This window comes from Homo sapiens, chromosome 8, assembly GCF_000001405.40.
Source record: "Homo sapiens chromosome 8, GRCh38.p14 Primary Assembly".
Taxonomy (NCBI): Eukaryota; Metazoa; Chordata; class Mammalia; order Primates; family Hominidae; genus Homo; species Homo sapiens.
In genome coordinates, this window is record NC_000008.11 from 8,174,834 (window position 1) to 8,201,625 (window position 26,792).

A 26,792-nucleotide genomic window follows, 5' to 3' on the forward strand; every position below is an offset into this window, starting at 1 on the left:
AGACCAGCTCTGGCTAAGCGGTGGCCAAGAGTACGGGTGGAAGACAACCCTCCAGGGTTGGCAGTCAACCAAGCCCCCGTACTTATAGAAGTTAAGCCTAGGGCCCAGCCATTTAGGCAAAAACAGGAGCCGGTCCCCAGAGAAGCTCTTGAAGGTATCCAGGTCCATCTCAAGCACCTAAGAACTTTTGGAATTAGAGTTCCTTGTCAGTCTCCATGGAACACTCCCCTCCTGCCTGTTCCCAAGCCTAGGACCAAGGACTACAGGCCGGTACAGGATTTGCGCTTGCTTCATCAGGCTACAGTGACTTTACATCCAGCAGTACCTAACCCGTACACATTGCTGGGGTTGCTGCCAGCTGAGGACAGCTGCTTCACCTGCTTGGACCTGAAAGATGCTTTCTTTAGCATCAGATTAGCCCCTGAGAGCCAGAAGCTGTTTGCCTTTCAGTGGGAAGATCCGGAGTCAGGTGTCACTACTCAGTACACTTGGACCCGGCTTCCCCAAGGGTTCAAGAACTCCCCCACTATCTTCGGGGAGACATTGCCTCGAGACCTCCAGAAGTTTCCCACCAGAGACCTAGACTGCGTGTTGCTCCAGTAGGTTGATGATCTTTTGCTGGGACACCCCACGGCAGTCGGGTGCGCCAAGGGAACAGATGCTCTACTGCGGCACCTGGAGGACTGTGGGTATAAGGTGTCCAAGAAAAAAGCTCAGATCTGCCGACAGCAGGTACGTTACTTAGGATTTACTATCCGACAGGGGGAGAGCAGCCTAGGATCAGAAAGAAAGTAGGTCATTTGCAATCTACCGGAGCCTAAGACCAGAAGGCAGGTGAGAGCATTTTTAAGGGCTGTGGGGTTTTGCAGACTGTAAATCCCAAACTTTGCAGTATTAGCCAAGCCTTTGTATGAGGTCACAAAGTGGGGGGACCGGGAACTTTCTGAATGGGGATGCCAGCAACAGCAAGCCTTTCATGAGTTAAAGGAAAGACTTATGTCAGCCCCAGCCCTGGGGCTACCCGATCTAATAAAGCCTTTTCCATTGTATGTGTCAGAAAGAGAAAAGATGGCAGTTGGTGTTTTAACCCAAACTGTGGGGCCCTGGCCAAGGCCGGTGGCCTACCTCTCTAAACAACTAGACGGGGTTTCTAAAGGATGCCCCTTGTTTGAGGGCCTTGGCAGCAACTGCCCTGCTAGTACAAGAAGCAGATAAGCTGACTCTTGGACAAAACCTGAACGTAAAGGCCCCCCATGCTGTGGTGACTTTCATGAATACTAAAGGACATCATTGGCTAATGAATGCTAGACTCACTAAGTACCAAAGTTTGCTCTGTGAAAATCCCCGCATAACCATTGAGGTTTGTAACACCCTACACCCCGCTACCTTGCTCCCAGTATCAGAGAGCCCTGTCGAGCATGACTGTGTAGAAGTGTTGGACTCAGTTTACTCTAGCAGACCTAACCTCCAGGAACAGCCTTAGGCATCAGTAGACTAGGAACTACACGTGGCTGGGAGCAGCTTCATCAACCCACAGGGAGAGAGATGTGCAAGCTATGCGGTGGTAACTCTGGACACTGTTGCTGAAGCCAGATCGTTTCCCCAGGGCACTTCAGCTCAGAAAGCTGAACTCATTGCTTTCATTCGGGCCTTAGAACTCAGTGAAGCTAAGAATGTCAACATTTACACTCACTCTCAATATGCCTTTTCAACCCTTCAAATGCATGGAACATTATATAAAGAAAAGGGCTTATTGAACTCTGGGGGAAAAGACATAAAATATCAACAATAAATCTTGCAATTATTAAAAGCCGTATGGAGACCCCACAAGGTGGCAGTTATGCATTGCAGAGGACACAAGCGAGCTTCCACCTTGGTGGGTTTAGGGAATTCCTGCGCTGACTTAGAGGCTCGAAAAGCAGCATCTGCCCCCTTCTGGGCATCAATCACAACCCCCCTGCTCCCTCAAGCACCTGATCTGGTACCTACTTATTCTAAAGAAGAAAAGGACTTTCTCCAGGCAGAGAGAGGACAAGTGATGGAGGAAGGATGAATTCGGTTACCGGATGGGAGAGTAGCTGTGCCACAGCTGCTAGGAGCTGCAGTTGTACTGGCTGTGCGTGAAACCACCCATCTAGGTTAGGAATCACTTGAAAAGTTGTTAGGCTGGTATTTCTACATCTCGCATTTGTCAGCCCTTGCCGAAACGTTGACGCAGTGGTGTGTTACCTGCCGACAGCATAATGCGAGGCAGGGTCCAGCCGTTCCACCCGGCATACAAACTTATGGAACAGCCCCCTTTGAAGAGCTCCAGATGGACTTCACAGAGATGCCAAAGTGTAGAGGTAACAAGTATTTACTAGTTCTTGGGCGTACCTACCCTGGGTAGGTGGAAGCTTATCCAACACGAACTGAGAAAGCTCATGAAGTAACTCATGTGCTTCTTCGAGATCTTATTCCTAGATTTGGACTGCCCTTATGGATCAGTTCAGATAATGGGCCGGCGTTTGTGGCTGACTTAGTACAGAAGGCGGCAAAGGTATTGGGGATCACACGGAAACTGCATGCTGCCTCCTGGCCTCAGAGTTCTGGAAAGGTGGAGCGAATGAATTGAACTATCAAAAATAGTTTAGGGAAAGTATGTCAGGAAACAGGATTAAAATGGATACAGGCTCTCCCTATGGTATTATTTAAAATTAGATGTACCACTTCTAAAAGAACAGGATATTCCCCTTATGAAATATTATATCATAGGCCCCCTCCTATATTGCGGGGACTTCCAGGCACTCCCTGAGAGTTAGGTGAAATTGAGTTACAGCGACAGCTACAGGCTTTAGGAAAAATTACACAGACAATCTCAGCCTGGGTAAATGAGAGATGCCCTGTTAGTTTATTCTCCCCAGTTCACCCTTTCTCCCCAGGTGATCGAGTGTGGATCAAGGACTGGAAAGTAGCCTCTTTGTGTCCACTGTGGAACGGACCCCAGACTGTCGTCCTGAGCACTCCCACCGCTGTGAAGGTAGAAGGAATCCCAGTCTGGAACCACCACAGCTGTGTAAAACCTGCAGCGCCGGAAACCTGGGAGGCAAGACCAAGCCCAGACAACCCTTGCAGAGTGACCCTGAAGAAGACGACAAGCCCTGCTCCAGTCACACCTGGAAGCTGACTGGTCCACGCATGGCCGAAGCACGAGGAAGCTCATCGTTAGATTCATTTTTCTTAAATTTTGGACTTATACAGTAAGGGCTTCAACTAACCTTACTCAAAATGGGGACTGTTCCCAGTGTATTTATCAGGTCACCGAAGTAGGACAGCAAATTAAAACAATCTTTCTGTTCTATAGTTATTATGAATGTATGGAAACATTAAAAGAAACTTGTTTGTATAATGCCACTCAGTACAAGGTATGTAGCCCGAGAAATGACCGACCTGATGCGTGTTATAGCCCATCTGAGCCCCCTGCAACCACCGTTTTTGAAATAAGAACTGGCCTTTTGCTAGGTGATACAAGTAAAATAATAACTAGAACAGAAGAAAAAGAAATCCCCAAGCAAATAACTTTAAGATCTGATGCTTGTGCAGCCATTAATAGTAAAAAGCTAGAAATAGGATATGGTTCTCTTAACTGAGAAAGGAGCTAAAGAGTAGAAAATAAATATGTTTGTCATGAGTCAGGGGTTTGTAAAAATTGTGCCTATTGGCCATGTGTTATTTAGGCTACTTAAAAAAAGAACAAAAATGACTCGGTTTATCTTCAGAAGGGAGAAGCCAACCCCTCCTGGGCCGCCGGTCACTGTAACCCACTAGAACTAATAATTACCAATCCCCTAGATCCCCTTTGGAAAAAGGGAGAACGCGTAACCCTGGGGATCAATAGGACAGGGTTAAACCCTCAAGTTGCCATTTTAATTAGAGGGGAGGTCCACAAGTGCTCTCCCAAAACAGTATTTCAAACGTTTTATGAGGAGCTGAATCTGCCAACACCAGAACTTCCGAAAAAGACAAAAAATTTGTTTCTCCAATTAGCAGAAAATGTAGCTAATTCCCTTAATGTTACTTCTTGTTATGTATGCGGAGGAACCACTATCGGAGACAGATGGCCTTCGGAAGCCCGAGAGTTGGTGTCTACTGATCCAGCTCCTGATATAATTCCAGTTCAGAAGGCCCAAGCTAGCAACTTCTAGGTCCTAAAACCTCAATTATTAGACAATACTGTATAGCTAGAGAAGGGAAAGACTTTATCATCCCTGTAGGAAAGCTTAATTGTATAGGACAGAAGTTGTATAACAGCACAACAAAGACAATTACTTAGTAGGGCCTAACCCACACTGAAAAGAATCCATTTAGTAAATTTTCTAAATTAAAAACTGCTTAGGCTCATGCAGAATCTCATTAGGACTGGACGGTTCCCACTGGACTATACTAGATACGTAGGCACAGAGCCTACATTCGGTTACCTAATAAATGGGCAGACAGTTGTGTTATTGGCACTATTAAGCCGTCCTTTTTCTTATTACCCATAAAAATGGGTGAGCTCATAGGTTTCCCTGTCTATGCCTCCTGAGAAAATAAAGGCATAGTTATAGGAAACTGGAAAGATAATGAGTGGCCCCCTGAAAGGATCATTCAGTATTATGGGCCTGCCACAGGGGCACAAGATGGCTCATGGGGATACCAAACCCCCATCTACATGCTCAACTGGATCATACGGTTGCAGTCCGTCTAAGAAATAATTACTAATGAAACTGGCAGAGCTTTGACTGTTTTAGCTTTGCAAGAAACCCAAATGAGGAATGCTATCTATCAGAAAAGACTGGCCTTAGACTACTTGCTAGTAGCTGAAGGAGTTTGTGGAAAATTTAACTTAACCAACTGCTGCCTACAAATAAATGATCAAGGACAGATGGTTAAAAACATAGTCAGGGACATGACAAAGGTTGCACATGTGCCTGTAGAGGTTTGGCACGAGTTTAATCCTGAGTCTTTATTTGAAAAATGGTTTCCAGCTATAGGAGGATTTAAAACCCTCATTGTAGGTGTATTGCTAGTGATAGGAACTTACTTGCTGCTCCCCTGTGTATTACTCTTGCTTTTTCAAATGATAAAAGATTTTGTTGCTACTTTGGTTCATCAGAAAACTTCAGCACACGTGTGTTATATAAATCACTATCGCTCTATCTCACAAAGAGACTCAAAAAGTAAAGATGAGAGTGAGAACTCCCACTAAAAAGTGAAAATGCTCAAAGGGGGAAAATATGGTATGAGACCACCACTTCTCCTGTTGTCCTTCCCAGTTTCTCCCCAACCTCCCCTTTTCCCTAGTTTATAAGACAGCAAAAAAGGGAGAAAGCAAAAAGCTGGAAAAAACAGAAGTAAAATAAATACCTAGACGACTTTGGCGCCACCACCTGGCCCTGGTGGTTAAAGTAACAATAATATTAACCCCTGACCAAAACTACTGTTGTTATCGGTAAATCCCAGACATTGTATGAGAAAGCACTGTAAAAACTTTTTGTTCTGTTAGCTGATGTATGTAGCCCCCAGTCATGTTCCTCAAGCTTCCTTGATCTATTATGACTTTTTCACGTAGAACCCTTAGAGTTGTCAGCCCTTAAAAGGGCTAGGAATTTCTTTTTCAGGGAGCTCGGCTCTTAAGACACGAGTCTGCCAACGCTCCCGGCCGAATAAAAAAACCTCTTCCTTCTTTAATCTAGTGTCTGAGGAGTTTTGTCTGGAACTCGTCCTGCTACACTAGCTCTCCGTGACTCATCCCAACCCTTTTCATTACACGCAGCCGAAGTGCAGCGCTGTGCAGTTGAAATTCTTACACAAGGACCAGGATGGCGTCCTGTAGCCTTTTTGTCCAAACAACTTGACCTTACTGTTTTAGGTTGGCCGTTGTGTCTCCGTGCAGCAGCTGCTGCCACCCTAATACTTTTAAAGGCCCTTAAAATCAGAAACTATGCTCAACTCACTCTCTACAGCTCTCATAATTTCCAAAATCTATTGTCTTCCTCACACCTGCCACATATACATTCTGCTCGCCGGCTCCTTCTGCTGTACTCACTCTTTGTTGAGTCTCCCACAATTACCATTGTTCCTGGCCCAGACTTCAATCCGGCCTCCCCCATTATTCCTGATACCACACCTGACCCTCATGACTGCATCTCTCTGATCCACCTGACGTTCATCCCATTTCCCCACATTTCCTTCTTCCCTGTTTCTCACCCTTACCACACTTAGTTTATTGATGGCAGTTCCACCAGGCCTAATTGCCACACACCAGCAAAAGCAGGGTATGCTATAGTACAAGCCACTAGCCCGCCTCTTAGAACCTCTCATTTCCTTTCCATCGTGGAAATCTATCCTCAAGGAAATAACTTCTCAGTGTTCCATCAGCTATTCTACTACTCCTCAGGGATTCTTCAGGCCCCCTCCCTTCCCTACACATCAAGCTCAGGGATTTGCCCCCACCCAGGACTGGCAAATTAGCTTTACTCAACGTGCCCCGAGTCAGGAAACTAAAATACCTCTTGGTCTAGGTAGACACTTTCACTGGATAAGTAGAGGCCTTTCCCACAGGGTCTAAGAAGGCCACCACGGTCATTTCTTCTCTTCTGTCAGACATAATTCCTCAGTTTGGCCTTCCCACCTCTATACAGTCCGATAGCAGACCTGCCTTTAGTAATCAAGTCAGCCAAGCATTTTTTCAGGCTCTTAGTATTCAGTGAAACCTTTATATCCCTTACAGTCCTCAATCTTCAGGAAAGGTAGAACAGACTGATGGTCTTTTAAAAACACACCTTACCAAGCTCAGCCACCAACTTAAAAACGACTGGACAATACTTTTACCACTTTCCCTTCTCAGAATTCCGGCCTGTCCTTGGAATGCTACAAGGTACAGCCCATTTGTTGCAGGAAGTCAGGGACCCCAAACGGAGGGACAGGCTGAAGCCATGGCAGAAGAACGTGGATTGTGAAGATTTTATGGACATTTATTAGTTCCCCAAATTAATACTTTTGTAATTTCTTATGCCTGACTTTACTGCAATCTCTAAACATAAATTGTAAAGATTTCATGGACACTTATCACTTCCCCAATCGATATCCTTGTGATTTCCTATGCCTGTCTTTGCTTTAATCTCTTAATCCTGTCAGCCGAGAAGGATGTATATCGTCTCAGGACCCTGTAATAATTGCGTTAAGTACACAAATTGTACAGCATGTGTGTTTGAGCAATATGAAATGTGGACATCCTGAAAAAAGAACAGGATAACCGCAGTCGTTCAGGGAATAAGAGAGATAACCTTAAACTCTGACCGCTGGTGAGCCCGGCAGAACAGAGCCATATTTCTCTTCTTTCAAAAGCAAATGGGAGAAATATCACTGAATTCCTTTCTCAGCATGGAACGTCCCTGAGAAAGAGAATGCGCACCTAGGGGTAGGTCTCTGAACTGGCCCCCCGGGGCTTACCTGTCTCTTAAGGTCGAGATTGCAGAGGTGAAATAAACTGCAGTCTCCCATAGCGCTCCCAGGCTTATTAGGAAGAGGAAATTCCCGCCTAATAAACTTTGGTCAGACCGGTTGATCTCAAAACCCTGTCTCCTGATAAGATGTTATCAATGACAATGGTGCCAAAACTTCATTAGCAATTTAAATTTCACTTCGGTCCTGTGGTCCTGTGATCTCGCCCTGTCTCCACTTGCCTTGTGATATTCTATTACCCTGTTAAGTACTTGATGTCTGTCACCCACACCTATTCGTATACTCCCTCCCCTTTTGAAACTCCCTAATAAAAACTTGCTGGTTTTTGTGGCTTGTGGGGCATCATGGATCCTACCAATGTGTGATGTCTCCCCCGGACGCCCAGCTTTAAAATTTCTCTCTTTTGTACTCTGTCCTTTTATTTCTCAAGCCAGTCAATGCTTAGGAAAATAGAGAAGAACCTACGTGATTATCGGGGCAGGTCCCCCGATACCCCTTGGATCTCCTGTATAGACACTCCTTTTTGTTAGGCTCCAGTCTCATTCCAGACACAAGACCAACTTGGACTGTGCCCCAAAAAACTTCTCATCCCTACTATCTTCTGTCTAGCCATACTCCTATTCACCATTCTCAACTACTCATATATGCCCTGCTCTTGTTTACACTGGTGGTTTACACTGTTTCTCCAAGCCATCACAGCTGACATCTCCTGGTGCTATCCCCAAACCACCACTCTTAACTCTTAAATAATCTTTGCTGGCAAGGCTATGCTGAACCTCCTTAGGCACTCTCTAATTAGATGTCCTAGGTCCTCCCAATTCTTAGTCCTTTAATACCTGTTTTTCTCCTTCTCTTATTCTGTTTAGTTTTTCAATTCATACAAAACTGTATCCAGGCCATCACCAATAATTTTAAATGAAAAATGTTTCTTCTAACAACCCCACAATATCACCCCTTACCACAAAATCTTCTTTCAGCTTAATCTCTCCTACTCTAGGTTCCCATGCCACCCCAATCCCACTGGAAGCAGCCCTGAGAAACATCGCCCATTGTCTCTCCATAACACCCCCCAAAAATTTTCACCATCCCAATACTTTACCACTATTTCATTTTATTTTTCTTATGAATATAAGAAGACAGGAACGTCAGGCCTCTGAGCCCAAGCTAAGCCATCATATCCCCTGTGACCTGCATGTACACATCCAGATGGCCGGTTCCTGCCTTAATTGATGACATTCCACCGCAAAATAAATGAAAATGTCCTGTTCCTGCCTTAACTGATGACATTATCTTGTGAAATTCCTTCTCCTTGCTCATCCTGGCTCAAAAGCTCCCCTACTGAGCACCTTGTGACCCCCACTCCTGCCTGCCAGAGAACCCCCCTTTTTCCTTTACCTACCCAAATCCTATAAAATGGCCCCACCCCTATCTCCCTTCGCTGACTCTCTTTTTGGGCTCAGCCCACCTGCATCCAGGTGAAATAAACAGCTTTATTGCTCACAAAAAGCCTGTTTTGTGGTCTCTTCACACGGACGCGCCAGAAAAAGGGTGTCCTTTTTTTTTTTTTTTTTTTGAGATGGAGTTTCACTCTTGTTGCCCAGGCTGGAGTGCAATGGCATGACCTCAGCTCACTGCCACCTCCTCCTCCTGGGTTCAAGCAACTCTCTTGCCTCAGCTTCCCCAGTAGCTGGGATTGCAGGCATGCGCCAACATGCCCGGCTAATTTTGTATTTTTAGTAGAGATGGGGTTTCTCCATGTTGGTCAGGCTGGTCTCAAACTCCTGACCTATGGTGATCCACCCGCCTCGACCTCCCAAAGTGCTGGGATTACAGGCATGAGCCACTGCGCCGGGACAAAAGTGTCCTCTTATAAGGACACTTGTCTTTAGATGTACAGCCTACCTAAATTACTCCAGGATAATCTCGACATCCTTAACTTAATTACATCTGCAAAGACCCTTTTTCCAAATAATGCCACCTCCACAGATTCTAGGCACAAGGATCTGGATATATATTGTGCAAAGCCACCATTCAGCTCACTACACTAGAAAGAGGAAAAACAACGAAGTAACAAAAGGCGCAGAAGAAAGAACAGATGCAGCTTGTGTGGCAGTGGCCATCGAGGCAGGATGGGGTAAAACTGTGTTAACAGAACCCCGAGATGGAACTCAAGTGTGGCCGTCTACTCCCAGCTACTCACAGAGAACGTTTCTGTTTCTGACAGCAGAGTAAGAGAAGGGGTGGGAAGAGAGATAGCCCATTCTCTGTTGGCCTAATTCCTAAGGAATTGTGCCTCTGCCTTCGGGTCATTCTCAAGTCTTGTTCAAGGACAAAATGATTTATTGATGGCCATAATTAAAAAGCAATGCCAACAGAAGCAGCCTCACCATTTTTCATTTGTACTTACACATGAGCGAGAGCAGTTTAGGGAAACGGGTGTCTTCAGGTTCTGTTTTCTCCATCTAGAAAAGGGCTGCCTTCGTGGAATGCTGGTCCTGGGGAGAAGCCTCATTTCTATAGCAGGAATTGATAGAGTTTTAAATTCCGATTGGTACATGGAGCTACCCGTCCTCATTTCAAGCACTTCTGGTTAGTTCTGGGTTCAGTGGGTGAGCAATGAGTAGAACTCTGGGGAGGAGGATTTGGAGTGAGCGTGGTTTTGATCCCCAGAGGGAGTTGTTTTTCCATCAATGTCTTGACTGTGATTCAGAATGGGCTTCTCCGCTCAAGATGGGAGTACTGGGCTAATTTAAGGCAGGTGATTGACTTGATTTGGTGGCTACTTTTATACTAGCTGGTTAACGAGCTATTTTCTTCATTAGTTTCAGGCATATGAGCGTAATGAAGCACTGGACCTCCCAAATTACAAGGAAAATACAGATATAGCTTATGTGGTAGGTTCAAAGGAGTTAGTGAACAAACACAGTAGGGACACAAATTCTTGTTAAAGACATGAATGTATGAAAGTGTATCTATGTCCAAATGGACCCTCTGCAAGCATACTGTTCCACCTGAAAATTAGTACATAGAAATTCAGCAAATGCTTGGACAGGGGATATTCTCAGAAGTATTCTGACTCAATAGCATGGTTTATTTTCATATCACTAAAGTAATTTCTTCTCAAATTGACTCTGGACTAAATCTTATGATACCTACTTGTTCCGATTGTACTTAGCCACCTGCAAATAAGGTGGAGGCAGTGGTAAGAGGAGCTGTTGAATGAAATGAAACATTTGTTGGATGCCTACTGAAGATAAAGCCCTGTGCTTTGTGCCAGGGAGATTCCAGAATAAATGAGGCACAGACCTACTCTCAGGAAGCTTTTGCAAACTAATGGAGAAAACACATCTTCAGGCAATGACTTATGGTATAAGAGGAAATGGGGCCAGATACGGTGACTCACACCTGTAATCCCAGCACTTTGGGAGGCCGAGGTAGGTGGATCACTTGAGGTCAGGAGTTCAAGAGCAGCTTGGCCAACATGGCGAAACCCTTTCTCTACTAAAAGTACAAAAAGAAAAAAAAAAAAATGAGCCAGGCTTGATGGTGTGCACCTGCAATCCCAGCTACTTGGGAGGCTGAGGCACAAGAATCACTTAAACCTGGGAGGTGGACACTGTAGTGAGCCGAGATCCCACCACTGCACTCCAGCCTAGAAGACAGAGCGAGACTGTCAAAATAAAAAAAAAAAGGAAATAAGATTGGTGTTGAATGGGAAATCTAAGGAGGATGGAATGACAGGAGAGCGCCCACTTGCCCAGCTCCAATAACACTTTTGACAGCCATGACAATATTGCAGGGACACCCATTCGTCATGGTATCTGAAGTCCCATGAAAGCTTGAGTCTGGAGGCTGGTTCAGTCTTGACTTTAAGATAAGGGGATACAAGGAATGATTTTCATCTATCCCAAGCCAATAGTCCAGCCAAAAATCTAGGTCTGAGATGATGAGAAAAAGCAAGTCATCAACCATGTCAGCCATTTCATCATCATCATCATCATCATCATCATCATCAAAAACAAAAGACAGACCTGTAACCGTCTTGTGTGCCTGGCTCTCAGTTCACAATATAGAAGTAAATTCTATGGCCAGCGAACAATGAGCAAAATAGCTCTCATCACTCTTGTCTGCCACCATGTAAGACATTCCTTTTGCCTTCCACCATGATTTCGAGACTTCTTCAGCCACATGGAACTGTGAGCCCATTAAACCTCTTTTTCTTTATAAATTACCCAGTCTTGAGTAACAAAATAGTGGTTTGTCCACAACATCAATGAACGATGCTGTTACTTGTTCCAAACACGTATCATTTAAGAGGTTTGGATAAACAACATCCTAAAATAAATAAGCACTAAGCAAACTCAGGGCTACATAATCCCTGTGGTGAGCTAACTGACAATGGGTACAACTGGGACACTTTACCGTTAAATCACCTCTATCTACATGTGCCCAAGCAGTGACATACTTGGTTTTAATCCTAAAAAATCATGGTGCACATTTACTCCTGCCTTCCAACTGGGCTCTAACGTCACCTCCTCAGAGAAGCCCGCTTTTCTGTGCTTCCACTCTGCCTTTTTTCAGCATTTAGTAGAGCATCAGTCACCATCCATATCTGGGAACAATGATTGTAAGAAACAGAAACCCATTTGCATGAGCTTGAGGACAAGAAACACACCTTATCTCTAACAGGCAAACTCATGGGCACAAGAAACAAATGAGAGGCCATGAGAGAATGGAAACTGCAGTTACAGAAACCAAAATTCCTCTTTCTTGCTCTCAGAAGCCCATGGTCTCTTTCTTTTTTTTCTTTTTTTCTTCTTTTTTTTTTTTTTTTTTGAGACGGAGTCTCGCTCTGTCGCCCAGGCTGGAGTGCAGTGGTGCAATCTCAGTTCACTGCAAGCTGCACCTCCTGGGGTTAACGCCATTCTCCCACCTCAGCCTCCCAATTAGCTGGGGCTACAGGCACCCGCCACCACACCCAGCTAATTTTTGTATTTTTAGTAGAGATGGGCTTTCACCGTGTGAGCCAGGATGGTCTCGATCTCCTGACCTCGTGATCCGGCCATCCTGGCTTCCCAAAGTGCTGGGATTACAGGCGTGAACCACCGCACCTGGAAGCCCATGGTCTTTCTTATCAGCCCTGTGGACTTTCTTATCTCTTCTTCTCACTCACAACCAATTTTCCCTTTTTGCTGGTGGCCCACCCTGGCAGCCAGCAGAGCCCACCGCCAGCTGATCAATCAGTTACTGGATATCTTGGAGAGGGAGGGAGGGAGGAAGGAAGAGAGGGAGAGGGAGAGAGAGAGAGAGAATGACAATTGGGCTTCTGGCCAACCAATTGAGTATAGGGAGGGGAAGTACCATGGTACAAATATGGCTCCAAGACCTGCTTTCCAGCATGGCCAGTGAGTAGGGAAATTGAGGGAAGGTACCTGCAAACACAGCAGACATCTCAGAACATGCTCTCTGTTCTTAGTTCTCTCTCCTGCCTTCTCCTAGATTGTAAATATCACAAGACAATCTAGGATAGTACCTGGCTCAAAATATTTGAGAAAGAGGAAAAGGAAGACATTGCATCAAACTGTAGACTACATGGTTTCCTAAATTCACTCTGCAAGTTTTTGGGTTTTTTGTTTTTTGAGACAGAGTCTCGCTCTGCTGCCCAGGCTGGAGTGCAATGGGATAATCTTGGCTCACTGCAACCTCCACCTCCCAGGTTCAAGCAAATCCCCTGCCTCAGCCTCCTGAGTAGCTGGGATTACAGGCACGCACAGCTATACCAGTTAATTTTTGTATTTTTAGTACAGACGGGGTTTCACCATGTTGGCCAGGCTGGTCTCGAAATCTTGACCTCGTGATCCACCCACCTCGGCTGCCCAAAGTGCTGGGATTACAGGTGTGAGCCACCACACCTGGCCGACTCTGCAAGTATTTAAGTGAATGAATGTCAGTCCCTGAGAATCAGAATTTCTTCTGATTTAACGGCATTAAATCTCCCTTAGGTTTAATCCTGGTCAGCAGCTGTGGGGTGTCCTGGGTTTGGGATCAGTGGGATGAGGAACAAGCAGGTTCTCCAAACCACCACGCAGGGAGGGGAGGTGTTAACTAGGCCAAAGATGATGGGTGGGGTATGTGCCTGGGTTTCAAACAGCTTATGCCAGGCCTAAAAACAGACGCTGAGGCAGAAACTGTATTAAGCAAATTGATGACACAATGGAGGAGGTCAAAAAGTTTAATATTGATAAGAAGAATACAAATACTGATCATGCGATATATTATTGTTATCACACCATCTCCTGCTACACGCCAGGTTTCCTTTACCATGAGATAGAAGAGATTTGTGGATCTGACCTAACCCTCCAAATTATAAGGTCTCTGAGAGTGGGCTCATGACATTCATGTTTTATAAATGTGGCATAAAGGTTAATGCTGGCTGCCATGTGACCCAATGCCAGTTTGACGCTGCATTCAAAGAACCATCGTTCCAGCATCCAAGCACACTTAAAGGCAATTGAAATGTTTACCGCCTTCCCTCAAGACAAACACCAAATAAAAATTATTTTCAAAATGCATAGCAACACTTCTTAAAATCTTATTTTCCCATCTCTTTCTCTCTCTCTACCACATTCCCAAGAGTTTCCCAGGAGCAAAACTGTCATAAAGACCCAGGAGCAAAATGATTAGTGACTTCACGATATCTGATTCTCATTTAGTTGGTTTAGAGTGGTGTCCAGGCATACGTATTTTTTAAAATCTTGCTGGGCACAGTGGCACACACCTGTAGTCTCAGCTACTCAGGAGGCTAAGGCAGAAGAATCACCTGAGCCCAGGAGTTTGAGTCCAGCCTGGGCAACGTAGCAAGACCCTGTCTCTGAAAAAAAAGAAAAAAAAGCAAAAACAAATCTCTCTCAGCTTCAGTCAGGGTTGATAACTAGTTGATCAAAAAATTGTGGTAGCCATCCTTCACAATGGACCTTAATATTCCCACCTCCTGGTGTTATTCACTGTGGAATCTGTCTTAGCTAGTCCTCAACTGGGTCTGGTATCCAGGCCCCACCTTGAGAGTCTAGTCCCACCTCCTACCCCACACATGGTTTTACACTTACTTTCAAGACTGGCCTAAAAATGTAAAATGTATTTGTTTTGACCTTCTTTCCAATGAAACAACTGTTCTAAACATTCCTTTAGGATGGTTAGGGAAATTTGAACACCGGCTAAATATTAGAAGATATTTGTTTCAAAATAACCCAGCTTGGTAATGAGATGATGGCGGCTGAGGCTGGTGATAGGCACAGAGGGCTTCATTATCAAATATAAACAAGTGGAAAAAACAGAACTTTTCCATAATACAAATATAAGGTAAACAAGAAAGTGTATTGAGTGCATAAAAAGAATCTATGGTCTCACAGGTATTAGCTTATAACTTGAACATCAAAAATAAAAGTGACAGCCGGGTGCAGTGGCTGATGCCTGTAATCCCAGCACTTTGGGAGACCTAGGTGGGTGGATCACTTAAGCCCAGGAATTTGAGACCAGCCTGAGCAACAGAGTGAGACCCCCATCTCTAAAATAAATAAATACAAATAAAAGTGACTAGAATTGATTATAGAACATCAACTCGATTTGAGTCTATAAAGATTACTGGTGAAGGGGGGCAATGGGGAGAAGGAGGAAGAGAATATATTTGTGACCTAGATTATTTTCCTTAGTTTTGAGAGAATCTTCGGGTCTCCTGGGTCTTCTAGCCCAGTATTTATTTTTATTTTTTATTTATTTGTGTATTTTTTTTTTATGTTTTTAGATGGAGTCTCACTCTGCCACCAGACTGGAGTGCAGTGGTGCGATCTTGGGCCACTGCAACTTCCGCCTCCCAGGTTCAATCTATTCTCCTGTCTCAGCCCCCCAAGTAGCTGGGACTACAGGTACCTGCCACTTCACCCAGATAATTTTTTTTTTTTTTTTTTTTTTTTTTGAGACAGAGTCTGGCTCTGTTGCCCAGGCTGGAGTGCAGTGGTGCAATCTCGGCTCACTGCAAGCTCCTCCTCGAGGTTCATGCCATTCTCCTCCCTCAGCCTCCCGAGTAGTTGGGACTACAGGAACCTGCCACCACGCCCGGCTAATTTTTTTGTGTTTTTAGTAAAGACAGGGTTTCATCGTGTTAGCCAGGATGGTCTCGATCTCCTGACCTCGTGATCTGCCCGCGTCGGACTCCCAAAGTGCTGGGATTACAGGCATGAGCCACTGTGCCCGGCCGCACCCAGCTAATTTTTGTATTTTTTGTAGAGATGGTGTTTCACCATGTTGATCCAGGCTGGTCTCAAACTCCTGACCTCAGGTGATCCGCCCGCCTTGGCATCCCAAAATACAAGGATTACAGGCATGAGCCACCACACCCTGCCTATTTTCCTTAGTTTTCAGAGAACCTTTGTGTCCCCTGAGTGTTCTAGCCCAGTATATCTCAAACTTTGCTGCATCAAGGACCTTGTTGAAATGCAGGTTCTCATCTGGGAGGCTCAGTGGGCCGGCAAATCTGCACTGGTTTAGGAAGCTCACCCTGAGTATCAAGCTTCAGTGAGGATCAGGCAGGCCCCTGCCTACCAACCCCCTCTCAGCTGGGCTTAACTCTGGCTCTCTCCTGCCAGGGTTCCTCCTCTCAAAATAGGAGCTATTTTCAAAAAGTCTCTTGGAAAAAAAGCCCTGTTTTAAAATTGGGGTGTTCAGGATTGGCCATCTGCTCACCATGGGGTTTTAAGACCTTTGCCCAGAACCCTGCAACCAACTTAGAACTGACGTCTTTACTTTTGAAGGCCCCACTCCACACCATATTAAATTAATTAAAATCAACCCGCATTACAGGCATATCTCAGGCATCATGCCCTCAGAAAGGAGTTGCAGCTGATCACTTGACAATGTTGTAAGGCATTAAACATGCATTCATTTCAGCCTTGCAGTTTTCACATTTAGGAGCCAATTGTCTTAGGTCTAAAGCATTCATGCCGAAGCATTGTTATGGGCCCCAGACACTATGCTTCCCAGCCTTAATGGCCTCTGCAATGCTGGTTCCTACTGGCCCACCCCTGGGTTCTGGCCGGCTAGCCCGCGCCACCTCACTGCTCCCCCATTCAAGTGTGCCTTAAATGTGTGGTTTCCAAACTCATCTACACTTTAGGGTCACCTGAGATTTTTTTTTTAAATCTTCCAAAACCCAGGCCACACCCAAGAACAATTAAACCTCAACCTCTGGAATGGGACATAGACTCCGTTTTTTGTTTTGTTTTGTTTTTGAGACAGGGCCTCGCTCTGTTACCCAGGCTGGAGTGCAGTGGCACAATCATAGCTCACTACAGGCTCCAACTCCTGGGCTCAAGAAACCCTCCCACTTCAACCTCCACGGTAGCTGGGATCACAGGCGGGCACCACCACGCCCGGCTAATTTTTAAATTTTTTATAGAGACAGTATCTCCTTATGTTCTCCAGGCTAGTCTCAAACTCCTGGGCTCAAGTGATACTCCCGCCTCACCGTCCCAAACTGCTGGGATTATAGGCATGAGCCACCATGTCTGGACATCAGCATCTGTATTTTTTGAAGCACAGACGAGTTTGGGAACTACCGCGCTAGACTGAGTTTCGATTCCTAGCCCTGTCTGACCGTAGGATTCGGCTGGGCTGCTTCTGAAAACAGAGCTCCCCAGGCTCCTTCCCAGGTAATTCTGATTCATTAGGTCTGGGGTGGGCCCCGGAATGTGCATTTTTTATGAGATCCCTCTGGGTGAATCTGGCTAAAGCCAGTTTGGGATCTGAGACCTTGGAGATCATTCCCCAGCTTCCCTCCTAACCCAGTTCCCGGCTTGGCCCACCTCACCCAGGCTGTGTCACGTCTGACTTCGCAGATTACACCTGAGAGGGAAGCCCCAGCCATCACAATGTGAGAACATTTTACAATGAACAGGATATGCCAAGTACATTTTAAGACTCATTCAGGATTAGCGTTCACCTTAAACTTGACAGACTCAGAGAATGGGCTGGCCACGTGCTGTGCACAACCCTTAGTGCCCTTCTGTGACTAATATTTGGATAATTGATTGTTGGAAGCTCAGGAAGCCTCTCTCTCTCAGAGGGGTTGAAGTTAACTTCTTTATTTCTGAGGTAGGGAAGAAAATGACGATGTTCTGCCTTTTGCTAGACTGAATACTGTCTTCCAAAAATTCACATTCACCAGGAATCCCAGAATGTGACCTTATTAGAAAATAGGGGCAGGGCATGGTGGCTCATGCTTGTAATCTTAGCACTTTGGGAGGCTGAGGCAGGAGGATCACTTGAGGTCAGGAGTTCGAGACCAGCCTGGCTAGCATGGCAAACCCTGTCTCTACTAAAAACATAAAAATTAGCTAGGCATGGTGGCGTGCACCTGTAATCCCAGCTACTTCAGAGGCTGAGGCTGAAGAATCACTTGAACCCAGGAGGCAGAGTTGAAGCGAGCTGAGATTGTGTCACTGAACTCCAGCCTGGGCAACAGAGCAAGACTCCATCACAAAAAAAAGAAAAGAAAATAGGGTCACTGCAGATCTAATTACAAAGAGGTCATATTGGAATAGCGTGAACCTTAAATCGAGTAATAATGGCATCCTCATGGGAAGAGAAGAAGAGACAGAGACACACAGGGGAGAAGGCCACATGAGAATGAAGGAAGAGAATGGAATGATGTGGACACAAGCCAAAGAATGCCAGCAACCACCAGAAGCCAGAAGAGGCAAGGAAGGATTCACCCCTAGAGCCTTCAGAGGGAGCATGGCCCTGCGGGTTTCAGACATCAAGCTTCTGGAACTGGAGAGAATGACTTTCTGTTGTCCTGAGCCACCCATTTGGGGAACTCTGTTAGAACAGTCACAGCCAGGTCATGTGCTCCTGGATGCATCTCAGGAATTAATAAGCACTGTCCTGGCCAGTCAGGGTTGCTCACCCCTGTAATCCCAGCACTTTGGGAGGCTGAGGTGTGTAGATCACCTGAGGTCAGGAGTTCGAGACCAGCCGGACCAACATGGAGAAACCCCATCTCTACTAAAAATACAAAAATTAGCTGGGTGTGGTGTTGTGCACCTGTAATCCCAGCTACTTGGGAGGCTGAGGTAAGAGAATCACTTGAACCCTGGAGGCAGAGGTTGCAGTGAACTGAGACTGCGCCATTGCCCTCCAGCCTGGGCAACAAGAGCAAAACTCCGTTCCCCCAAAAAAATAATAAGTACTGTCTTGACTGTGGTCATCAAAAATATTTGATTAAGGGTTAGCTAGAAAGCCTGACCCTTTCACAGACAGACGGAAGGGCCAAAAGAAAATAGATTGTTTGCAGTGGGGCAAGAAGGATAAGAATCCTATGGAAAAAAAAATAACAGAGGGATTTGTTTAGTGAGCGCTGGGGAGAGGCATTTGTTTTCTTGCTTGAAAAAGAAACACACGTTGGGTGCGGTGGCTAAAGCCTTAATCCCAGCACTCTGGGAGGCCAAGGTGGGTGGATCACCTAAGCTCAGGAGTTTGAGACCAGCCTGGCCAACACTGTGAAACCCCATCTCTACTAAAAAGACAAAAACAAAGAAAGAAAGAAATTAGCCAGGCACGGTGGTGGGCGCCTGCAATCCCAGCTACTCGGGTGGCTGAGGCAGAGAATCACTTGAACCTGGGAGGCAGAGGTTGCAGTAAGCCAAGATGGCATCACTGCACTCCAGCCTAGGCAACAAGAGTGAAACTCTGTCTCAACCAAAAAGAAAGAAAGAAAGAAAGAAAACCATAGTTTTAAGTCCACTCAGTGGAGTTTAAAAATACATTCCCATTGCACAGTGCTTTTGGAATCTTTTCTAAACTTCTGTTGCACATGGTCTAATTTGATCTTCATAGCAACTCCCTGAGGTGGATAGGGCAGGCCTTTCTGAACACCTATTTTCTAGTTTGCATTAAAAGAACGGAATTGGCTGGGACCAGTGCCTCATGCCTATAATCCCAAAACTTTGTGATACAGAAGGGAAGTGCTCAGAAGGGAAGAATGTGGTCCCTTTAAATGATATGGAAGTGAGGAAGGGAAGTACTGGGTAGAGGAGGGTGTGGTCCCTGGCTAGGGCTCCACCCCAGGGCCTGTGTCCACGGACCTAGGTGAGGACTGGCATTTTTGTTTTCCTGCCCAGATGTTGCATTTCCCAAGACCACCCTGGCTGCCACACCCCCATTCTGTGCCTATAAAAACCCTGAGACCCTAGCAGGCAGACACAGGCAGCTGGACTTTGAGAGGAGCACATCAGCAGAGGAACACAAGGGTGCTGGACTTCAACAGGAACGCACCAATGGGCACCGTCACACCGCAGGCCACTGACTGCAGAACAACGCAGAGTTTGGCTGGGACATTCGGAGAAGAGTCCGGCCACTCATCCAACTCCAGGGGTAAACCATCTCCCTTCTGGCACGCCCATCTGCTGAGAGATACTTCCACTCAATAAAACCTTGCACTCTCACGCCTGTAATCCCAGAACTTTGGGAGGCCGAGGCGGGCAGATCACGAGGTCAGGAGATCCAGACCATCCTGGCTAACACAGTGAAACCCCATCTCTACTAAAAATACAAAAAAATTAGCCAGGCGTGGTGGCGGGTGCCTGTAGTCCCAGCTACTTGGAAGGCTGAGGCAGGAGAATGGCGTGAACCCAGGAGTAGGAGCTTGCAGTGAGCTGAGATCACACCACTTCTGGTACACCAAGGCAAGAACCCCGGGACAAAGAGAGCCCTCTCTCCTTGCAATAAGGCAGGGGTCTAATTGAGCCGACTAACACAAGCTACCTACAGACGGCTAAACTAAAAGAGCACCCTGTAACACACGCCCACTGGGGCTTCAACTATAAACATTCACCCCTGGACACTGCCATGGGTCTCCCTGCCTGTCTGCATGCTCTCCTAGAGGTTTGAGCAGTGGGGCACTGAATAAACGAACCACACCCGCATCGCATGCCCTTCGAGGGGGACAACAGAACTTTTCCCATTTCATCTGAGAGGCCAAGGCAGGAGGATCGCTTGAGCCCATGTGTTTGAGACCAGCCTACACAACATAGCAAGACACCATCTCTACAAAAAAAAAAAATAAGTAAACAAAAAAAAAGCATTAAAAATTAGCCAGCTGTGGTGGCACACACCTGTAGTTTCAGCTACTCAGGAGGCTGATGTGGAAGGATTGATTGAGCCCAGGAGATTGAGGCTGCAGTGAGCCAAGATTGAACCACTGCACTCTAGCCTGGGCAACAGAGTGAGACCCTGTTTCGACAACAACAAAAAGAATGGAACAAAATAACTTCTCAAATAGCTAGCAGAGGGAGATCTGGTTCTCAAATGCAGGTTTTCCAGGTTTCAATTCTTGTTTCTAGCAGTATTATGGAGAAACATGATCACTAATACATGAAGGAGAGGAGGTTTCAAGTTCTGATGAAAAGATGGTAAAGAGAGGAGTTAGTTGACTAGGAGCGACTAGGAATAGGAAGAAAACGCATGACACTACTTAGAGGAAAGAAGAAAAATAAGCATAGAGGTGACTGAGCAGACAGAAAGGACTTGGAAGAAGCGTGGCTGGCCCTGTCTCTAAATTTTTTCCCTTGCATTAGTAACTTCCCTGATGACTTGGATGAATCTTCTCTTCCAGGGTACCTAGTGCTCCCTTTCTGTCCACTTCTCCTTTCCCAGGGCCCATACAGTCTGGGAAAGCATGCTCTGCAGGCTTCTCATATCTTTCCTTCCTTAATCTGCCCCTAGCATCTCTACATAACCCATATACACCTGGAGTTCCACATGTTCCAGTCTTTGCACTGCAGTGAATTCAAAGAATGGTAGACTCTAGCTGGGCGCAGGGGCTCACACCTGTAATCCCAGCACTTTGGGAGGCTGAGGCAGGTGGATCACTTGAGCCCAGGAGTTCAAGACCAGGCCCGGCCAACATGGTGAAACCCCATCTCTACTAAAAATACAAAAATTAGCTGGGCTTGGTGGTACATGCCCAGTAGTCCCAGCTTCTAGGGAGGCTGAGGCAGAAGAATTGCTGGAACCCAGGAGGCAGAGGTTGCAGTGAGCTGAGATCGTGCCACTGCACTCCAGCAGACTGGGCAACAGAGACCAGTCTCAAAAAAAACACAAAGACAAAACTAAACAAAAAAAAAAAAAAAAAAAAAAACGCGCACACACAAAAAAACAAAGATAGACTCCAATAGGAAAAATTCACTCAAAAGCAACTCAAATAATTATTCAGTCAACCCAGTTCTATCTCAGTTCTTTATTATATATATAAACTTATTCTGTCCAGATTCCCTAGTTTTCTTTTTCTTATCTTTTTTGTTTTCTTTTGAGACAGGACCTCACTCTGTCACCCAGGCTGGAGTATAGTGGCACAATCATGGCTCACTGCAGCCTCAACCTCCTGGGCTGAAGTAGTTCTCCCACCTCAGCCTCCCAAGTAACTGGAACTACAGGTGCATGCCACTATGCTCAGCACCTTTTTGTATTTTTTGTAGAAACGGGGTCTCGCTATGTGGGCCAGGCTGGTCTTGAACTCCTGGACTCAAGAAGTCCGCCTGCCTCAACCTCCCAAAGGGCCAAGATTACAAGCATGAGCCACTGCATCTGGCTGATTCCTTAGTTTTCTTTTTCTCTTTGCCCATTGCCTGGATTCCATAAGCAGAAGGAAAACCCAGGGACTGACTTAGTAGGCAAGACCCTTTCCTCTTCAAAACATAAATTGGCTCAAGTGGTACCAAAACTGAAACATGTTTATAACTTAACATCTTTTCTTCCTACCCCTTCAATCTCTTGAGCAATGAGAAAAGGCACTGGGCTCTTTATTTGTGTAGGGAAAAGAAAGAGAGATCCGACTGTCACTGTGTCTATGTCGAAAGGGAAGACATAAGAGACTCCATTTTGAAAAAGATCTGTACTTAAAACAATTGCTTTGCAGAGATGTTGTTCATTTGTAGCTTTGCCCCAGCCACTTTGCCCCAACCACTTTGACCCAACTTGGAGTTCACAAAAACATGTGTTGTATAAAATCAAGGTTTGAAGGATCTAGGGCTGTGCAGGATGTGCCTTGTTAACCAAATGTTTACAAGCAGTATACTTGGTAAAAGTCATTGCCATTCTCTAGTCTCAATAAACCAGGGGCACAATACACTGTGGAAAGCCGCAGGGACCTCTGCCCTTGAAAGCAGGGTATTGTCCAAGGTTTCTCCCCATGTGATAATCTGAAATATGGCCTCGTGGGATGAGAAAGACCTGACTGTCCCCCAGCCCGATACCCATAAAGGGTCTGTGGTGAGGTGAATTAGTAAAAGAGGAAAGCCTCTTGCAGTTGAGATGGAGGAAGGCCACTGTCTCCTGCCTGCCCCTGGGAACTCAAAGTCTCGATGTAAACCCGATTGTACATTTGTTTAAGTCTGAGATCGGAGAAAAGCTGCCCTGTGATGGGAGGCAAGACATGTTTGCAGCAATGCTGCCTTGTTATTCTTTACTCCACTGAGATTTTTGGGTGGAGAGAAACATAAATCTGGCTTACGTACACGTCCAGTCATAGTACCTTCCCTTGAACTTAATTATGATATAGATTCTTTTGCTCACATGTTTTTTGTTGACCTCCTTATTATCACCCTGCTTTCCTAGTATATTCCTTTTTGCTGAAATAATGAAAATCATAATCAATAAAAACTGAGGGAACTCAGAGGCCGGTGCCTGTGCATGTCCTTGGTGTGCTGAGTGCCGGTCCCCTGGACCCACTGATGTTTCTCTATACTTTGTCTCTGTGTCTTATTTCTTTTCTCCGTCTCTCATCCCACCTGACTAGAAATACCCACAGGTGTGGAGGGGCAGACCACCCCTTCATCTGGAGCCCAGCGTGGGGCCCTTCTCTAGGGTGAAGGTACGCTAAGAACGTGAGCATTGAGTACAGCCGATGAGAGATTCCCGAGTACGTCCACAGTCAGCCTTGCGGTTAGCTTGTGTGCTGGGAGGAATCCAGGATAACAATGGGGCAAACTGAAAGTAAATATGCTTCTTATCTCAGCTTCATTAAAATTCTCTTAAGAAGAGGGGGAGTTAAAGCTTCTACAGAAAATCTAGTTACGCTATTTCAAACAATAGAACAATTCCGCCCATGGTTTCCAGAAAAGGGAACTTTAGATTTAAAAGATTGGGAAAAAATTGGCAAAGAACTAAAACAAGCAATTAGGGAAGGTAAAATCATCCCACTTACAGTATGGAGTGATTGGGCCACTATTAAAGCAACTTTAGAACAACTTCAAATAGAAGAAGATAGGGTTTCAGTCTTTGATGCCCCTGAAAGCTGTGTAATAGATTGTGAAGAAGAGGCAGGAACAGAGTTTAAGAAAGGAATGGAAAGTTCACATTGTAAAAATGCAGTAGAGCCTGTACTGACTTGGTCAATGCAGAATGTTGACTATAATCAATTACAGGAGGTAATATATCCTGAATCATCAAAATTGGGGGAAGGAGGTCCAGAATTATTTGGACCATCAGAGTTTAGACCACGATGGCCACCAACTCCTTCTCCCGCGGTTCAGATGCCTGTGATGTCACAATCTCAAATGCCAATCCAGGCACAGTATCCGCAATACCAGCCAGTAGAAAATAAAACCCAACCATCGGTAGTTTATCAACACCAGCCGCCAGCCGCATTTCAGTATCCGCCGTCTCCAGAGGTTCAGTATGGATCTCAGGCGGTGCGTCCTGTGCCAAATAGCAAGGCACTATATCAACCCACGGCGATGGCGTTTGATCTTACGGTACCACCTAGTGGACAAGATAGTGCACTGCATGAGACCATTGCTACAGCCAGAAAACAGGGAGATCTTGAGGCATGGCAATATCCGGTAATGTTACAACCGATGCCGGCCGGGAAAGGGAGTCAAGCAGGAGTTAAACAATATGGACCTAACTCTCCTTATACGAGAATATTATTAAATTCCATTGCTCATGGAAATAGACTTATTTCTTATGATTGGGAAATTCTGGCTATATCTTCCCTTTCACCCTCTCAGTATCTCCAGTTTAAAACCTGGTGGATTGATGGGGTACAAGAACAGGTACGAAAAAATCAGGCTACTAATCCTGTTGCTTATATAGATGAAGACCAATTGCTAGGAAGAGGTCCAAACTGGGACACTATTAACCAACAATCAGTAATGAAAATGAGGCTATTGAACAACTGTAAGGGCTATTTGCCTCAGGGCCTGGGAAAACATTCAGGACCCAGGAACCTCATGCCCTTCTTTTAGTTCAATCAGACAAGGCTCTAAAGAGCCATATCCAGACTTTGTGGCAAGGTTGCAAGATGCAGCTCAAAAATCCATTGCAGGTAACGCCCGAAAAGTTATTGTAGAAATAATGGCTTATCAAAACGCAAATTCAGAGTGTCAATCAGCCATAAAGCCATTAAGAGGAAATGTTTCAGCAGGAGTTGATGTAATTACAGAATATGTGAAGGCTTGTGATGGGATTGGAGGAGCTATGCATAAGGCAATGCCATTGGCTCAAGCAATTACAGGGGTTGCTATAGGAGGACAAGTTAAAACATTTGGGGGAAAATGTTATAATTGTGGTCAAATCGGTCATCTAAAAAAGAATTGCCCGAGCTTAAATAAACAGCAAAAAAAAAAAAAAAAAAAAAAAAAAAAAGAGCCACCTGGCCTGTGTCCAAGATGTGGAAAAGGAAAACATTGGGCTAAGGCATGTCGTTCTAAATTTGATAAAAATGGACAACCATTGTCGGGAAACGGCAAGAGGGGCCAGCCCCAGGCCCCGCAACAAAGTGGGGCATTCCCGATTCAGCCATTTGTTCCTCAGGGTTTTCAGGGACAACAACCCCCACAGTAAATACCACCATTTCAGGAAATCAGCCAATTACAATACGACAATTATCCTCTGTCACAGCAGGCAGTGCTGCAGTAGATTTATGTTCTACTCAAATGATTTCTTTACTCCGTGGAGAGCCCCTGCAAAAGATTCCTACAGGGGTATATGGCCCGCTGCCACAAGGGATGGTAGGCCTTATTTTAGGAAGATCTAGTCTAAATTTGAAAGGAGTTCAAATTCATACTGGGGTAATTGACTCAGATTATAAAGGGGAAATTCAGTTAGTGATCAGCTGTACTGTTCCCTGGAGTGCCAATCCAGGTGATAGAATTGCTCAATTACTGCTCTTGCCTTATATTAAAATTGGGGATAGCAAAACAGAAAGAACAGGAGGGTTTGCAAGTACCAACACTGCTGGAAAAGCTGTTTATTGGGCTAGTCAGCTCTCAGAGAATAGATCTGTGTGTACAGTTACTATTCATGGAAAACAATTTGAAGGATTAGTGGATACTGGGTCTGATGTTTCTATCATTGCCTTAAATCAATGGCCAAAAAATTGGCCTAAACAAAAGCCTGTTACAGGACTTGTTGGTGTGGGCACTGCCTCAGAAGTGTATCAAAGTGCCAGGATTTTACATTGTCTAGGACCTGATAATCAAGAGAGTACAGTTCAGCCTATGATTACTTCTATTCCAATTAATTTATGGGGCCGAGACTTATTAGAACAGTGGCATGCAGAGATTACTATTCCAGTCTCTCTGTACAGCCCCACGAGTCAAAAAATCATGACTAAAATGGGATAGCTCCCTGGCAAAGGACTAGGGAAAAATGGAGAAGGCATTAAAGTTCCAATTGAGGCTAAGGGAAATCCAGAAAGAAAAGGACTAGGGTATCCTTTTTAGGGGTGGCCACTGTAGAGCCTCCAAAACCCATTTCATTAACTTGGAAAACAGAAAAGCCTGTATGGGTAAATCAGTGGCCACTACCAAAACAAAAGCTGGAGGCCTTACACTTATTGGCAAAATAACAATTAGAAAAGGGACATACTGAGCATTCATTTTCGCCTTGGAATTCTCCTGTGTTTGTAATTCAGAAAAAATCAGGCAGATGGCGCATGCTAACTGATTTAAGAGCCGTTAATGCAGTAATTCAACCCATGGGGCCTCTCCAACCTGGGCTGCCCTCTCCAGCCATGATCCCCGAAGACTGGCCTTTAATTATAATTGATCTGAAGTATTGCTTTTTTACCATTCCTCTGGCAAAACAGGATTTTGAAAAATTGGCTTTCACTATACCAGCCATAAATAATAAAGAACCAGCCACTAGATTTCAGTGGAAAGTGTTGCCTCAGGGAATGCTTAATAGTCCAACTATTTGTCAGACTTTTGTAGCTCAAGTTCTTCAACCAGTTAGAGACAAGTTTTCAGACTGTT

General features: G+C 45.3%; 1 long non-coding RNA gene and 1 pseudogene across 1 annotated transcript in view, besides 6 other annotated features; one reads left to right on the top strand and one right to left on the bottom strand.

Annotated features, from left to right (window-relative positions):
• The window catches only part of FAM85B (family with sequence similarity 85 member B), a 126,742-nt gene that overhangs the window by 74,072 nt on the left and 25,878 nt on the right, over window positions 1-26,792 (bottom strand). The window lies entirely within an intron of this gene.
• ENPP7P1 (ectonucleotide pyrophosphatase/phosphodiesterase 7 pseudogene 1) overlaps window positions 1-26,792 on the top strand; it is a 62,552-nt pseudogene that overhangs the window by 20,469 nt on the left and 15,291 nt on the right.
• Window positions 17-741: an enhancer, noted in NCBI's record as "H3K27ac hESC enhancer chr8:8032372-8033096 (GRCh37/hg19 assembly coordinates)". NCBI's record gives its function as "activates a minimal SCP1, AML or CMV promoter by ChIP-STARR-seq in primed H9 embryonic stem cells {active_cell/tissue: H9 hESC(primed)}" and the evidence as "EXISTENCE:reporter gene assay evidence [ECO:0000049][PMID:30033119]".
• Window positions 6,030-6,264: a silencer, noted in NCBI's record as "fragment chr8:8038385-8038619 (GRCh37/hg19 assembly coordinates)". NCBI's record gives its function as "represses an EF-1alpha promoter that drives an FKBP-Casp9 reporter gene in an ReSE screen in phorbol 12-myristate 13-acetate-treated (for megakaryocytic differentiation) K562 erythroleukemia cells {active_cell/tissue: K562(+PMA)}" and the evidence as "EXISTENCE:reporter gene assay evidence [ECO:0000049][PMID:32094911]".
• Window positions 7,108-7,763: an enhancer, noted in NCBI's record as "OCT4-NANOG-H3K27ac hESC enhancer chr8:8039463-8040118 (GRCh37/hg19 assembly coordinates)". NCBI's record gives its function as "activates a minimal SCP1, AML or CMV promoter by ChIP-STARR-seq in naive and primed H9 embryonic stem cells {active_cell/tissue: H9 hESC(naive and primed)}" and the evidence as "EXISTENCE:reporter gene assay evidence [ECO:0000049][PMID:30033119]".
• Window positions 7,764-8,419: an enhancer, noted in NCBI's record as "OCT4-NANOG-H3K27ac-H3K4me1 hESC enhancer chr8:8040119-8040774 (GRCh37/hg19 assembly coordinates)". NCBI's record gives its function as "activates a minimal SCP1, AML or CMV promoter by ChIP-STARR-seq in primed H9 embryonic stem cells {active_cell/tissue: H9 hESC(primed)}" and the evidence as "EXISTENCE:reporter gene assay evidence [ECO:0000049][PMID:30033119]".
• Window positions 19,312-19,818: an enhancer, noted in NCBI's record as "H3K27ac-H3K4me1 hESC enhancer chr8:8051667-8052173 (GRCh37/hg19 assembly coordinates)". NCBI's record gives its function as "activates a minimal SCP1, AML or CMV promoter by ChIP-STARR-seq in primed H9 embryonic stem cells {active_cell/tissue: H9 hESC(primed)}" and the evidence as "EXISTENCE:reporter gene assay evidence [ECO:0000049][PMID:30033119]".
• Window positions 19,819-20,324: an enhancer, noted in NCBI's record as "H3K27ac-H3K4me1 hESC enhancer chr8:8052174-8052679 (GRCh37/hg19 assembly coordinates)". NCBI's record gives its function as "activates a minimal SCP1, AML or CMV promoter by ChIP-STARR-seq in primed H9 embryonic stem cells {active_cell/tissue: H9 hESC(primed)}" and the evidence as "EXISTENCE:reporter gene assay evidence [ECO:0000049][PMID:30033119]".